Source organism: Homo sapiens, chromosome 3, assembly GCF_000001405.40.
Source record: "Homo sapiens chromosome 3, GRCh38.p14 Primary Assembly".
In the NCBI taxonomy this organism is placed as follows: domain Eukaryota; kingdom Metazoa; phylum Chordata; class Mammalia; order Primates; family Hominidae; genus Homo; species Homo sapiens.
The window spans coordinates 113055414-113071654 of record NC_000003.12 but is presented as its reverse complement, the minus strand read 5'-3'; the positions used below and the strand labels follow the sequence as shown (position 1 = coordinate 113071654).

Genomic DNA, 16241 nt, shown 5'->3' with positions numbered 1-16241 from the left:
GGTCTAGTCTTCACAATTGGGTTGTATCTTCTGTAAAATATGAGAAATACTTTATGATCTGAGTTCTCTATGCTTCCTTCCCAAAGAAATTTAGGAAACATTTCTCATCCAAGCCTGGGTTTTTAAGACTGTTTTCTTGTTAAATAGGCCCCTAGTCTGGAGAAATACAAGTAAACATTCATCTATTTAATATTTTCACACTTTCTCTGTCACTACATAGAAATATCAACAGGCATTGGAAGGAGAGTCCTGCCTTTGAAGTTGGAATAGGATATGAATTCAGATCTGCCATTAAACCGTATGTGATCTTGAATGAGTTTCTTGATTTCTTGGAGTCTCAAATTCCTAATTAGTAAATTGGAGGCAGGGGAAAATGAAGTTGCAGGACTATTCTGATTTTAAAGTTAAATGTGACATCCCAGGGGCCCTCTCAGTACTGGGCAAACTGGGATGGTTGGTCACCCTCCAACCCAGTAGAGTTGTTATGAAGCTCACCTATCATATAATAGTCTGTCTCACCTAGATGGAGCTGCTGTCCTCCAGGTATGGTGTGTGACAGAGAGGTCAGAGGGTAAGTTTGTAGTAAATGTTTTCAGTTTTGTTTTGCTCTCAGTCTCTACAGCTTCACTTTACTCCCAGCTATGTGGCGTCACCCATCTGTTTGGTGGATGTAGCTATGGGTGATGAGTCATCTCAGCAATACAGTTAATTATTAGGCACAAAGTAAGAATCTTGAAAATTGATCTGAGGTTATTCTTCTCCCCCAACGTTAGCCTCCAAAACGACCCTTTGAAGGAAACCTCTGTAATCCTCTTGCCATGGAAAGTCCACATTGCTAAAAGTCGACTTGCTGCTTCTGTTGAAATGATCACTGCAATCAGAGAGGCAGGGGAACAATCAAGCTATACATTCCATCCATCCCTCTGGGGACCAGCCTGGAATCATTCTCTCACAAAAGTTTTATTTAGCTTGTCTAAATAAGGACCTCTCTGCTTAAAATATAATGTAAGTTAAAGGCTGATAACAGGAATTGGTTGGCAAGTGCAGAACCAAATCTTCTGTTTCCCAAGAAGGTGCCACTAGTGCAGCCACAGCACAAATTTCTCTCCTTAGTCTGAGAAGTGCAACCTTGACAGATAGGAAATGGCTCTAGAGGGGCCGGTTTAGTCTCAGGGACTCCTTCCAACTCTGACACCTCTGCTTCAGCTGCTCTATTATGCTGGGAAGAATAAAATGACTCTCACAGAGGCAAGGTTTGGGATGACATCAACATTTTTCCATCTGGAAGGAATTGAAATCACCAGCTCATTGCTGGTAGTCTCTTAGGGAGTAAAGGTTGTGAGTGAAGAAATTATGACTTGGAACTCAATTTAAGACAAATGACACTTTTTTCCAATGTACACCAGATGGTACATACACAGCATCTTCATGATCAGCTCTTCAGCCCCCATCCCTTTCCTAAGTTGGCAGGCCCTTCCTAGTTGGAATTAATAAGCCAAATTATTTCTGAAACAACCCATACTCAATGTGCTGGCTTGGAGGGAGGGATTAATCAGCTTCAGTTCTTCCTTTAATTCCATGCTGCCTCCCCATATGTGTATGTAAGTTATACTGGCGTGGCAGTAGAAGAGCCAAGGTTAGGAACCAACACAGTACCTAGCATCATGTAGGGGTAATGAGTGAGACCAAGTTTCTAGCCTTGGCTGTGTCACTTAACTAGCTATATAACCTTGGTGTCATTTTATCTCTTTGGCTCTATTCCCATAGCTATAAGTAAAGGGGTTGGGTTGGGTAATTTTCAAGGCCCTTCCATCTGTAGAAGTCAATGAATTCTATGCCTCAGCAGCTTTTCTACCTACCCCTTCTTTCCTTTGTGCTCCTCTCTGCCTTTCCTTAGAAGTCTAATAGGCTGATAGGATGGCCCTGGCTGGGGATGAGGTGAGGATGGTGATTAAGGTTGGCTAGCAAAAAACACAGATTTTTTTTCCCCGCTTTCCTCGAGTCTTGCTTTCAACAGGAGCTTCCCCATGGTACCAAATGTCTTTGTCCTGTCCTGGAGACTGGCTTCACAGTGGTCACCGTGTCCTTTCTTGTGTCATTCCTTATGTTCTTTCTTTTTTTTTAACTCTTATTTTAGATTCAGAGGGTACATGTGCAGGTTGGTTACCTGGGTATATTGTGTGATGCTGAGGTTTGGGGTATGGATGATCTTGTCACCCAGGTACTAGGCATAGTAGTATCCAATAGTTAATTTTTCAACCCATGCCTCTCTCCCTCCTCCCCAGTTTCTATTGTTGCCATCTTTATGTCCATGAGTACCCAATATTTAGCTCCCACTTGTAAATGAGAATATGTAACATTTGATTTTCTTTGCCTATGTTAATTCATTTACGATAATGTCCTCCAGTTGTATCCATGTTGCTGCAAAGGACATGATGCTTTCTTTTTTATGGCTATGTAGTAGTCCAGGGTGTATATGAACCACATTTTCTTTATCTAGTTTACCACCGATTAGCACCTAGGTTGATTCCATGCATTTGCTATTGTAAATAGTGCTGTGATGAACATGTAGGTGGATGTCTTCTTGGTAGAAAAATTTGTTTTCTTTTGGATATATGCCCAATAATGGGATTGCTGCATTGAATGGTGGTTCTGTCTTAAGTTCTTTGAGAAATCTCCAAATGGCTTTCCACAGTGACTGAACTAATTTACATTCCCACCAACAGTGTATAAGCATTCCCCTTTCCCTGCAGCCTCACCAGCATCTGTTGTTTTTTTGACTTTTTAATAATGGTCATTCTGACTGGTGTGAGATAGTAGCTCATTGTGGTTTTGATGTGCATTTCTCTAATGATTAGTGATGTTGAGCATTTTTTCATATGTTTGTTGGCCACTTGTATGTCTTCTTTTGATAAGTATCTCTTCGTGTCTTTTGCCCATTTTTTAATGGGGTTGTTTTTTGCTTGTTCAACTGTTTAAGTTCCTTATAGATTCTGGATATTTGACTTTCATTGGATGCATAATTCGCAAACATTTTCTCCCATTCTGTAGGTTGTCTGTTTACTCTATTGATCGTTTCTTTGGCTGTGCAGGAGCTCTTTAATTTAATTAGGTCCCACTTCTCAATTTTTGTTTTGGTTACAATTGCTTTTGAGGACTCAGTCATAAATTGTTTCCCAAAGGCCAGTGTCCAGAATAGTGTTTCCTAGGTTTTCTTCTGGGATTCTTATAGTTTGAGGTCTTATATTTAAAACTTTAATCCATCTTGTGTTAATTTTTGTATATGGTGAAAGCTAGAAAACTAGTTTCATTCTTCTGCATATGGCTAGCCAGCTATCCCAGCACCATTTATTAAATAGGGAATCTTTTCCCCATTGTTTATTTTTGTTGACTTTGTTGAAGATCAGATGGCTGTAGATATGAGGCTTTATTTCTGGATTTTCTATTCTTTTCCATTGGTCTATGTATTTGTTTTTGTACCAGTACTATGCTGTTTTGATTACTATACCTTATAAGCATAGTTTGAAGGTGGGTAAGGTGATGCGTCCAGCTTTGTTCTTTTTGCCTAGGCTTGCTTTGGCTATTTGGGCTTGTTGTTGGCTCCATATGAATTTTAGAACAGTTTTTTCTAGTTCTGTGAAAAATGTCATTGGTAGTTTGATAGGAATAGTGTTGAATATGTAGATTGCTTTGGGCAGTGATACAGTTTGGATATTGTCCCTGCCCAAATCCCATGTTGAAATGAAATCCCCAGTGCTGAAGGTAGGGCCTGGCAGAAAGTGTTTGGATCACAGTGGGTCCCTCATGGCTTGGTGCTGTCTTCATTATAGTGAGTGAGTTCTTGTGACATCTGGTCATTTAAAAGTGTGTGGCACCTCCCTGCCCCCACTATCTCTCTTGCTGTTGCTCCCATTCTCACCATATGATGTGCCTGCTCCGCTTTGCTTTCTGCCATGATTGGAAGCTTCCTGAATTCTCCTGAAGCAAGCAATGCCATGCCTCTATGCTTCCTGTACAGCCTGCAGAACTGTGAGCCAGTTAAACCTCTTTTCTTATAAATTACCCAGTCTTGGGTGTTTCTTTATAGCCATGCAAGAATGGCCTAACACAGGCAGTATGACCATTTTAAAAATATTGATTCTTCCAATCCTTGGGAATTGAATGGTTTTCCATTTGTTTGTGTCATCTATTATTTCTTTCAAAAGTGTCTTGTAGTTCCCCTTATAGAGATCTTTCACCTTCTTGGCTTGTTGTATTCCCAGGTATTTTTTGTGTGTGGTGATTGTAAATACGATTGCATTCTGGATTTGGCTCTCAACATGAACGTTATTGGTGTGTAGAAATACTACTGAGTTTTGTACTTTGATTTTGTATCCTGAAACTTTACTGATGTTGTTTATTAGTTGCTGAAACCTTTTGGTGGACTCTTTAGAGTTTTCTAGGTATAGAATCATATCACCCCTGAAGACAGAATATTTGACTTCTTCTTTTCCTATTTGGATGTCTTTTATCTTTCTCTTGCCTGATTGCTCTGGCTATCACTTCCAGTACTATGTTGAATAGGTCTTGTTCTGGCTCTCAAGGGGAATGCTTCTAGCTTTGCCTATTCAGTAAGATGCTGGCAGTGGGTTTGTCATAGATGGTTCTTATTATTTTGAGGTATGTTCATTCAATGCCTGGTTTGTTGAGGCTTTTTATCATGAAGGGATATTGGATTATGTTGAAGCTTTTTCTGCATCTGTTGAGATGATCATATGGTTCATTGAAAGGATAAACAAGATTGATAGACTTAGCTACATTGCATGAACGCAAACATGAGAGACAGAGAAAAAGAGAGGGAAGATCTAAATAAACATAATCAGAAATGACAAGAGTGACATTATAATCAAACCCACAGAAATACATAAGATCCTCTAAACTATTATGAACACCTATACACACACAAACTAGAAAATCTAGAGGAAATGGATAAATTCCTGGAAACAGATAATCTCGTAAGATTAAATCAGGAAGAAATCGAAATCCTGATTAGACCAATATTGAGCACCAAAACTGAGCCACTAATGAAAAACCTACCAACCAAAGAAAGCTTCGTACCACATGGATTCACAGCCAAATTCTACCAGCTGTACAAAGAAGATCTGGTATCAGTTTACTGAAATTATTCCAAAAAATCAAACAGGAGGTACTCCTCCCTAGCTAATTCTACAAAGCCAGCATCACCCTGATAGAAAAACCTGGCAAAGACACAACAACAACAACAACAACAAAAAACTACAGGTCAATATTCCTGACAAACATGGACATAAAAATCCTCAACAAAATACTAGCTAATTGAATCCAACACCACATCAAAAAGCTAATTCACCATGATCAAGTAGGCTTCATTCCTGGGATGCAAGGTTGGTTCAATATGTGCAAATTCATAAATGTGATTCACCACATAAACAGAATTAAAAACAAAAGCCACATGATCATCTCAATAGATGTGGGAAAAGCTTTCATTAAAATCAAACATTTCTTCATGATAGAAAACCTTCAAGAAACTAGGCATTGAGGGAACATACTTCAAAATAGTAAGAGCTATCTATGATAAACCCACAGCCAACATCATACTGAATGGACAAAAGCTGGAAGCATTCCTCTTGAGAACAGAAAAAAGACAAGGATGCCCACTGTCACTACTCCTATTCAACATAGTACTGGAAGTGCTAGCCAGAGCCATCAGACAAGAGAAAGAAATAAAAGGTATCCCAACAGGTAAGGAAGTCAAACTATCTCTCTTTGAGGATGATACAATTCCATACCTAGAAAACCCCCCAAAGACTCTGTGAAAAGGCTCCTGGAACTGATAAACAACTTCAGTAATGTTTCAGGATGGAAAATAAATGTACACACATCAGTAATATTTATATACACCAATAACATTCAAGCTGATACACAAGTCTTTCTAAGTCTATCATCTGCAGCCTTAGGCACGGTCTATGTATGTTTACGGCAGTGGTGTGTTGCTAAGCTGGCTCCCTGAAAACAAAGTCCTGATGTGCAGCATTTGTCCATGATCATGGTGTAAATATTCTTTCGTGGCTAATTTCAAGCTAACAATGGTTTAGCAATCTGCTCAAGAATTTCCTGAATATTTGACAATATGTTCCCACAAGTGAGTCTTAGCCAATTACAGCACACCACAGACCTGGCATAAAACTAGAAGGAACCAGACCTTCTAGTTCTTCTATCAGTCTGTGGTGTCAACACAATGCCCTGCACATAGTAAGAACACAAGTGAAGCCCAGATTGACTGAATTTCTTTTTTTTTTTTTTGAGACGAAGTTTCGCTCTTTGCTCTTGTTGCCCAGGCTGGAGCACAAAGGCGCCATCTTGGCTCACTGCAACCTCCGCCTGCCGGGTTCAAGCAATTCTCCTGCCTCATCCTCCTGAGTAGCTGGGATTATAGGCGCCCGCCACCATGCCCAGCTGATTTTTGTATGTTTAGTAGTGATGGGTTTTCAGCATGTTGACCAGGCTGGTCTTGAACTTCTGACCTCAGGTCATCTACCCACCTCGGCCTCCCAAAGTGCTGGGATTACAGGTTTGAGCCACTGCGCCCGGCCTGACTGAATTTCTTTATGTCTTGACTAGAACGATCTTCCTGACCGTCATAATTTTTCTTATGGAATGTGATTATGATAATTTCCCAGCCTAGTCTTAGCTCCAGGCTCTAATTTATTCTATTTATTGTGGTATTATTTTCAGGTTACAAGTTGGTCTGGTTTTTTAAATTTCTGTTCCTTTCTTATTCTGATACTTTTATTTTTAATGCAGAAACACATACCCATGAAAACATAGTAACCTCCATGCTTCCCTGTTTCTATCTTACAAGAGAGTAAGTGCTCCCAGTGCTAAACTTTAAGCAGTGTGAACTCCAACCACTTCACATGAGTATTTTTTTTTTTTTTTTTTTGTGATCCATGTCAGTCCATGATTTGCTCAGGGGTTCCTTCTTGAAATGCCATGCATGATGGTATCTGGGAACTGATTATCATGTCAGAGGAAGATTTTGGAGACCAACCTGCTATTACTGGCAAACCAGATATTGACTATATCTTTTGTGGACCTTTTTCACTTTAATAAGTTAAAGAGCCTCCATCTGTTGGGCTCTGTCTCCTTTTAGCTCTTCTCTTATTTGACTTTTGCCCTGAGTTTGTTGTGTAGGTTCACTTTGCAGGGCTGTGCCAATTGTGGCTTTGGGACGAAGTGTTCCTTTTCCAGACAGAGATGTTTCATCTGGAGCCAGCCTTGACTTTTCTTTCTGCTATAATGTAAACATGAAAATATGAAAATGAACAGCACAAATAAGGTTTTATGGCTTTTTCCAGTAACATAAGGAGCCAAGAAAGGCAATAACAGAATTCAATCATTCATTCTCCTTTCCTATTAACTTGATTTTAATTTATCTTCCAGAATAAATATTTGACAAATTTCTTCATTAGTGTGGAGCTGAAGAAAATGCAGTATCTTTGGCTCAGGCGGGTTAATACTGCTCGACTTTGGCAGTTCTGGCCTGTGGAGTTTAGTGCTGGATTTGTGATTCCTACCAGGCCATATTGCAAAGACTAGATAAAGAAGGCAGTGAGGTTGTTGACTGGGGGTCCAAGGCTCAGGCAGCCAAAAGCAGACATGAGAGGTCAAGGCTGAGGTACTGGTAGAGACGAGCTCAAGACAAAACTGTGTGTCCACTGGTTATACTCCTTACCAGGAGTGCAATTCTTTCTTCAAAGTGGAAAAATACAAGAAGACCTCTAGAAATGGAGTGAAGCTTTCAAAAAATTCAAAGCAGGCACGTTCTTCATAGAGTTCAGGAGTCAAAACAGGTTGACTGCAAGTTAGATTAGGGAGCAGTGACTCACATGCACATTCCAGACAGGGTGCATGAGATAATTTTGAGAGGGCACAGGCAGGGACAGCCTGAAGCAAAATCATGTACTTTCCCATGGCATGCCCTACTTCTGCTATTCTACCAACGGTTATGGACTGAATGTTTGTGTCCTTCCCCACATTCATATGTTGAAATCTTAATCCCCAATGTGATGGTATGAGAAGGTTGGGCCTTTGGGAGGTAATTAGGTCATGAGTGTGGAGCCTTTATCAATAAGATTAGTGCCCTTATAGAAAGAGACCCAAGAGCTTGCTGTCTCTTTCTGTTCTCTGTCATGTGAGGATGTCATGAGAAGATGTTCATCTGCAAGCCAGGAAGCAGGCCCTCCCCAGACACTGGACCTGCTGGCACCTTGATCTTGGACTTCCCAGCTTCTAGTACTATGAGAAATAAATGTGTATTGTTTGAGTCACCCACTCTTCGGTAATGTGTTGCAGCAGCCTGAACTGACTAAGACACCATCTTGTTTCTGAAGTCTTATGACTCCCTACCACTTCCAGGGACCTGCCAACTCCACTCATAATCGTGAAACACTGAATCCTTACCAAAAAAGGAATGCTTCCAGGAAAATGTCATATGGTGTGTTTGATAATTTGGGACTCAGGCTTAGATGTAAGTATTGTATGCCTATTACTTACATGGTCCAAGTGATGTACATAAGTCTGCCTACATACTTAGAATCACTTGGATTCTAAGTATGTAGTAAAAATACTAATGCTTTCTTTTCTCTTCTCATCTTCATCTAAGGGATCAGGACAGTGAGGGAGGAGGGGGTGCTGTGGTGATGACTTGGCAAGAGGCAGTCTGATTGCTGAGGAAGACAGTGGGGGAAGATGCAGAGGTGGCAAGTGAGAGAGGCAGTTGGAAGGCTGGGGACTGGTTATATTCAGCAAATAAGTTAGTTCACTGAGAAAATATGTGAATAAATTGAGTATAGTCAGATCCATGTTTCTTATCATCTGGTACAAGAGTTATAATCATGGAAATAGGAAATCTAGGGAGATCCTCAGATGTTGGATTGAAATTGGAAGTATTGGTAGAAACTTATGAATTTTCAAATATATATAGATATAGAAACAATTATAGAAACATGTAGCAATATACACACCAAGTTCCCAGATCTTGGCTTTTAAATATCCCCTCCACAAAAAGAAGCCAAGCTCCTGGAGGAATGGCTGATTATAGGGCTAGGGCAAGGAAAGAAAAAAATGAGCCTGAATTATCTTGTGACAGAAAATAAAGAAGTGCTCAAAAAATGACAGGGACATGTCAGAAGGAGAGAGAAGTTTGCATGAAGGAGCTCCCTACTAGCCAAATCGGAGACAATCAAAGCATCAAAATAAATAATGAAAATACTGGATTGAAATTCAATGAATAAAATAAGAGTGCACAAGCCCACATGGATATAAATGAGTGAATATATAAACAACCAAATGAAGGGGAAAGTAAGGCTCTTTCTTACAATAGAACATAGACCATTTTAAATGTTGGCAATAGACGATCTCCATCTGGCAGTCAACCTACAGTGGTTGACAAAGGTAAGAGTCATTCATGGATACTCAGCTGCTGGGTGAAGGTTTGATGAGGAATAGGATATTGGTGTGACATTGAAATATGTCCCCAGAAAGTACTAATCAAATACAAAGGAAAAATGATGACTTCACAATGGCAGACACAAATTTGGCTAAGTGACCAAGGTTAACATTACCAATAGTGGGGCCGGTTGAGAGAGTAGAGCCTCCTGACGCGAAGCACTGAGAAGAGCACAGCATCATTTCTTCAGTCTTTCTGCCAGGAATGCAAGGCTTGAGTCTGAGGAAACATGGACTGGGCCAAGTTGAGGGTCATCCTCATGAATGAAAGGTCTGTCCTCTTTAAGACTGTCAGGGACGCAGATCCAGAGCCAGAGAAAGAACGAGGAACTGTTCCAGACTGAAGGAGAACAATGAGACAATAAATATTCCTGGAACAAGGAAAAACATGGTATTGGGACTGTTGGAGAAACTTGAATGGGATTACCGGATTGGAAGGTAGTGTTGGTTGATGCAGATTTTCAGACTGGAAAGGTATTACATGGTAATACAGAAGAATGTTCTTGTTTGGGGAAAGTATATGCTGGAATCTGTAGGAGTTATGGGTCATGATGTCAGAAAAAAAGATTATAATAAATTCAGTTCATTTCTCTCTTTCTCTATAAATATACACACATATGTATGAGCAAACAAAAAATATATATATACTTCTGTATAACTAGTCACACATATGTGTATATGTGTACACACATAGATATCTATTTCTTTCTTTCTAAAAGGTTAATAACTAATAATTAGGGAATCTGGGTAAAGAGAGTACTCTTGTAATTTTTCTGTTGGTTTAAAACTATTTCAAAAAGTAAAATTAGAGGCTGGGCAGGGTGGCTCATGCCTGTAATCCCAGCACTTTGGAAGGACGAGGTGGGTGGATCATCTGAGGTCAGGAGTTCGAGACCAGCCTGGCCAACACGGTGAAACCCTGTCTCTACTAAAAAAAAATAAATAAAATAAATACAAAAAATTAGCCAGGTGAGGTGGTACATGCCTGTAGTCCTAGCTACTTGGGAGGCTCAGGTAGGAGAATTGCTTGAACCCGGGAGGCAGAGGTTGCAGTGAGTTGAAATCACACCACTGCATTCCAGCCTGGGTGACACAGCAAAACTCTGTCTCAAAATCAAACCAAACAAAAATCAGAAAAATTCCTGAGTCCTACTCCAGAACAACTCAGATGAATTTTTGATCTGAGTATCTGCATTTTAAAAAAAATTCGAGGTGATTTAAAGGTATGACTAGGGTTGAGGGCCACAGCTCTAAGCCATCGGCATACTTCTCAGCTTGAACTCTAACTGCCTACTTAGGACCAAGCACAGGGAATGAAGATTTCTGAGACATGATCACTGCCTTCAAGGCCCAGACCAGAGCAGAGCCCACAGGTCATGCAGCCCTTGGACTGTTCTGAAGATGGTGATTCCATGGTGGGAGGTGAGGTTAAGACAAATGGAAACTTGGGGCATTGATGTCCCCAACTGATTTGCCTGTGTCCCCCTAAAACCAGACGGGTATGGTAGTTGACTCATCGGAGGCTAGAATCAGGGGTGGAGATTGGAGAGGTCCTGGGCACTCCAGGCTGTTCCTAACTGGGATACCCATTGGGGCTATTTGTTTGCAAAGCTTCTGATGCTAACTAGCAGTCAGTTATGAAATCAGATAAGTCAACTAGGGTTCTATTGCTCCAAGCAATGGAAGCAAACCCTGGCTAACTTAAATAACAGAGGAATGTATTGGTGGTATACTGGAGAGCTCACATAAAGGACAAGAAGCCACAGAAATCAGGGCAGGAGCCACAGAGGCTCAGGACATCCAGGTGGCAGAAGCCACACTGGTCATCGCTGCTGGAAAAAAATCCTCCATTCATTTTTCTTTTGCATCCTTGCTTTGGTCTACTTAAAATGGAAAGACCTGAGAAAAGGGTATAATTGGTTGCTCTTGACTCCTAGGCCCACCTCCTGGCTGTATTAGCATTTCAATTTCCAGTCCCATCAAGACTGTGTAGAATAGAGAAAAAATATCCCAAGAAGGGAAGGGAGGTGAAGGCTGGGCAATACTCACCCCCATTGTCTGGTAGAGTTTCTAGAATGAGTCAAAATCCATAGAGCCATGGGGGAATAATCCAATAAATGAAATAGTAACTTCTAATATTCCCCCCCTTGCTTGTTGTCATTTGGATTAAGCACACACAAGACACTGTGGACCCATTCTACCTCCTCAGAGTTTCCGAGTACCCCTCCTTGGTTGTCATATTATTGATAAATGAAAAAAATCTATGACCCTATACTATTCATTTTTATATGGATGGCTTAAGGATCCTTCAAGATCACAGTAGCATTCATTCGCATATCAAGTAATTATTGAGCACCTGCTATCTGCTAGGCCTTTTTCAGGTACCCGAGATGCATCAGTGAACAAAAGAAGTCAAATTCCCTGCTCTCATCTTGCTTCCATGTTAGGTGGGGCTTATGCGTGTCCGTCCTATCTCACTAACCTGAAAACGAAAATTGTTCTTACTGTTCCTACAGGCAAAACCTTACCACAATTCCAGGAAACCAAGAGAGGCTTTTTTTTTTTTTTTTTTTTTTTTTAGATGGAGTCTCACTCTGTTGCCCAGGCTGGAGTGTAGTGGCATGATCTTGGCTCACTGCAACCTCTGCCTCCCGGGTTCAAGTGATTCTTCTGCCTCAGCCTCCTGATTAGCTGGGACTACAGGTGTGCACCACCATGCCTTGCTAATTTTTGTATTTTTAGTACAGACGGAGTTTCACCATATTGGCCAGGCTGGTCTTGAACTTCTGACCTCATGATCTGCCTGCCTCAGCCTCCCAAAGTGCTGGGATTACAGGCATGAGCCACCACGTCTGGCCAAAAGAGGCTCTTTTAAGACACAGTCAAGTTTCCTTGGTCATCTGTATGTGCCACACTTCTGTCCTTTGGGCTGGGGCAGACACATGTGGTTTCAAAACAACCCAATGCATCTCAGCCCTGGCTCTCCACTAAGCAGAGCCACCAACTCCTGTGTGTCTGAGGCAAATCCATGTCTTCTTTTTTATTTTTTTTCATTTCAGATGGAGTCTAGCTCTGTCCCCCAGGCTGGAATGCAGTGGTGTGATCTCGGTTCACTGCAACCTCTGCCTCCAAGGTTCAAGTGATTCTCCTGCCTCAGCCTCCCAAGTAGCTGGGATTACAGGTGCGCCCCACTACGCCCAGTGAATTTTTGTATTTCAGTAGAGATGGGGTTTCACCATATTGGCCAAGCTGGTCTTGAACTCCTGACCTCAAGTGATCCACCTGCCTCAGCCTCCTAAAGTGCTGGAATTACAGGTGTGAGCCACCACGCCTGGCTGCAAATCCATGTTTTGTAGGCTGACAGAGTATTACGTCCTCTTTTGGAGCGTCCAAATATGTGGGCATGGAAGAGATGAGTACAAACTCTTACAAATGCTTGGTTATTTGTCTTAATGACCTGAGGATAGCTCTAAGAGGCCCTTCTGAAGGGGATTAATGTGGTATCGATTTAGTAGATGTGGAATATCTATGCCTTGGGCCAAATGCTCGTCCCTCTGTGGGCCAGGTTTGGTGGGAGCTGAGCCCTGGCCTTAAGCCTGACCTCTCTCTCACTGCCCTGGCAATGACCACCCCCTTATCCTGGCTGAGCTGGCACACCCAGCATAGGAAATGCATGTTGGTGAGGTTTGGGCAGGAGAGAGAGGTGTTTGGTGAGACACCCAGCTAAAGGTTTCCTTTACCACAGAGTAGACATTGCGGTTTTGCTGGAATCACATTCAGGTTTATGTGCCTTTGGTTTCATGAAAAGTCCAGGGCCATTTGCCCAGGAGTGAAATGACTTGACCCAGCTCAGCCACAAGTGATATTTTGGCTGGAGATAAGCTCCTGCAGCAAAGGGGAAACACTCTGTGGGGCCTGGGTTATACTGTTGCTCTGACGTGAATGAGCTTGTGACTGAAGATGGCCAGTGCTACTGTCCTAGCTTCAGTTTCTTCATCTGCAAGATGGGTGGGGGTGGAACGGATGACCTCTCAAAGTCCTTCCAGCTCCAACATTCTGATTCTATGCAGTACTGTCTCCATCGTTTGTGGGGCCCAGTGCAAGATGAAAATGCCTGTGCAAAATGAGAATTTCAAGACGGTAGCAGCAGAACATTAAACCAAGCACCAGACCCTCCTACACATGGGGTCCATATGCCTTCACAGGTAGTGTGCCCATAAAGCTGTCCTTGATTCTATGCATCCCCATGGCGCCTGTTTCTAATTACACTTGATGGAGTATCGTGTAATAGAGTGGACAGATATGGGTTTTCCAGTTAGAAAGACTTGGTCTTTAATCTAGGCCTTGTGTACCAGTCCAATCCTAGGTTCCTTCCCTATCTGTTCCTTGTCTCAGTTTCTTCATATGTAAAACAGGGATAATCACACCCATCTAGCAGGAAGGTTGTGAAAAATAAAGACAGACACGCAGAATACACAGTAGGGGTTCAGTAAATAGACTCACCAGTATTGCAAAGTATCACATATTCACATTAAACTGATTTCCACCTGAAACAGCATTTCATGGAGCCATGGCTTTTTAAGGCAAAGCTATGCTAGAGAGATAGCCAGATTCAAAACAGACTTTCTTTTTTCCAAAAAAAAGTCACGAGGGGCTTTTTACAGTAACTGCATCTGTGGCTCTCTGCTTTCTGGACCACACACTCTACGATTTAGGAAGTCATTCCGTTCCCAACTGAAAATTATCTCTTGGGCTTGGTCCCTTTCTTCTCTCAGTTCCCCATCCTCCCACTCTTTTTTTCTGCTATTCAGAACTGCATATGGGTTTTGAGAAACCTATTTGCATTTCAAATTCATTTCATGGCTATGATTGTTCTCATTTGCTTTGACTTCACATGTAGCCATATGTGCAGTTTTTCACTCATCTTGTGCAGCCAGAAAAGAGGACCAGACTTCCTTGGGACTCTCCCTCCTCTCATTAATGAATGATGCTATAAGCAAAAGTCAGCTTCCACCAGTGGGGAAAATATTATTCATTCTTGTGTTCATCTCTCCATTCATTCACTTGCGCTTTACCCTTTGAGCACTTAATATGTGTTAGCCATGTTCCCAGACACTGGGAATTTAGAGATAAATTATGATCTTTATCCAATTAGAAACTCAAGAACTAGTGAGAGAGACAAATGAGAGAACATAAAATGTCAAATACAACAAGGTAAATATTTTTAGAACGGTTGTGGAGTTGCAGGGAGACAGGATGACTCCCATGAGTTTTGTTTCCACCTGGGTGAGCCGGAGAAGGGAACATTTGAGCTGAGTGTTGAAGGATGCAAAGGAATTTTCTAGAAAAAGATACCTCCATCTGAAAGGAATCCTGGGACCTCACTGCTGCTTTTCAATCCTTTAAATATCTTGTCAATTCCCTGAGACATTTATCATGTGTGTGGAACTCCAGCTTCACAAACCCCATGGCCTTGGCTCACCATCTACCCTCTTGCTCCAGTAGAGTGAAAATGTCTAGAGGTGGGTCCTTTCACTCTCTTCATTGCCTTAGTTATGTGATTCCTCACTCCTAACCTGTTCTTTCCTTCTCTCTCAGGGGTAGATACCCTTATTCCTTCCAAAGGCAGCCCTTCCTCAGGGAGGCCAATCCCAGCACACCTGCAAGACTTTGCTTATTCAGTTTTCTCTCTTAGTGCTTCAAAATCTACTTTCCAGTTCCTTACCCTCCTTCAACAAGCAAGGTTCAGTCTTGCACAACCTGAAAACAAACAAAACTTTTTTAAACTCTGCAATTCCCTCAAGATATTCGGGTACCTATCACCTTCCTTTTACTAACATACTTGTTGAGGAAATTGGTTTCTTCACTCTCAGCTGTTACATTCTCACCGCTCCTTCAAGCCTGATCTAACAGCTTTTAGCCCCTGCTCCCCACTGAGTCTCATCTCCCAAAAGTCAGCAGATATCCAATCCACAAGTCTACTGGCACATCTCCAGCCCTCATACTCACCAACTTCTGCATCCTTTCAATTCTTGAAATGTTCACGTTATTGAAACCTCGTTCCCTCCTGGCTTTTGTAGCACTGTTCCTCAGCTACTCCCTTCCCCACCAGTCCGTCTTCCCTTCTCTTTTCACAGACCCTACCCCTCAGTCATCCCCTAATGATCCTTGGCCTCAGCTAGATGACTGGCTCCCAAACCCTGTCTCCAGGTCCTTCGGCTTCTCTGAGCCTCACTCTCACATTTCCAATTATTTCTGTGATATTTTCCTTGAGGTAGCTCACTGGCTTCTCAAATGCTGACTTTCTTTCTTTCTCCCCCAAGCCTTTATATTTTGATGACCCCAGCACCCACTCAGGATTGGAATGATATTATTCATTCCTCACTCCTCTCTTCCCCTTGCCCCATTTCCAATTAGGCACCCAATCCCATTTCTGTTACTCCAAAATGGTCTTTGCCATCTTTGTTATTATGGTTTCACCTTGCCCTTGAACCACCATGGGTGTCTGATGGTGCATCTTCATTATTTCCCAGCCCAGATGAGTTCATCTTTCTAAAGTTTGACTCTGCTGCTGTCAAAATCCATTCTCTTTCTGAATTTACCCACACTTTTGTCTGGATATTAACTCAGTGTTTTCAAGACAATCTCTGATTTTTCTCTTCAATGTAACAAATTCTTACTCAATACTTAGTATGAGTATGTGCAAGTCACTG

At 41.7% G+C, this 16241-nt stretch overlaps 2 long non-coding RNA genes across 13 annotated transcripts in view; one reads left to right on the top strand and one right to left on the bottom strand.

Annotated features, from left to right (window-relative positions):
- The window catches only part of NEPRO-AS1 (NEPRO antisense RNA 1), a 164860-nt gene that overhangs the window by 112723 nt on the left and 35896 nt on the right, over window positions 1-16241 (bottom strand). For 6 of the 12 annotated variants that reach the window (NR_186661.1, NR_186660.1, NR_186656.1 and 3 more), the window contains exon 2: window positions 9645-9868. The exons of the other annotated variants lie outside the window; for them this stretch is intronic. This is a non-coding gene — a long non-coding RNA (NEPRO antisense RNA 1). The remainder of the gene's footprint in view (window positions 1-9644; window positions 9869-16241) is intronic. 12 annotated transcript variants of the gene reach the window in all.
- The window catches only part of LOLI1 (lncRNA oncogene in liver cancer 1), a 53508-nt gene that overhangs the window by 32766 nt on the left and 4501 nt on the right, over window positions 1-16241 (top strand). Inside the window, exon 2 of the long non-coding RNA NR_189285.1 lies at window positions 12588-12709. This is a non-coding gene — a long non-coding RNA (lncRNA oncogene in liver cancer 1). The remainder of the gene's footprint in view (window positions 1-12587; window positions 12710-16241) is intronic.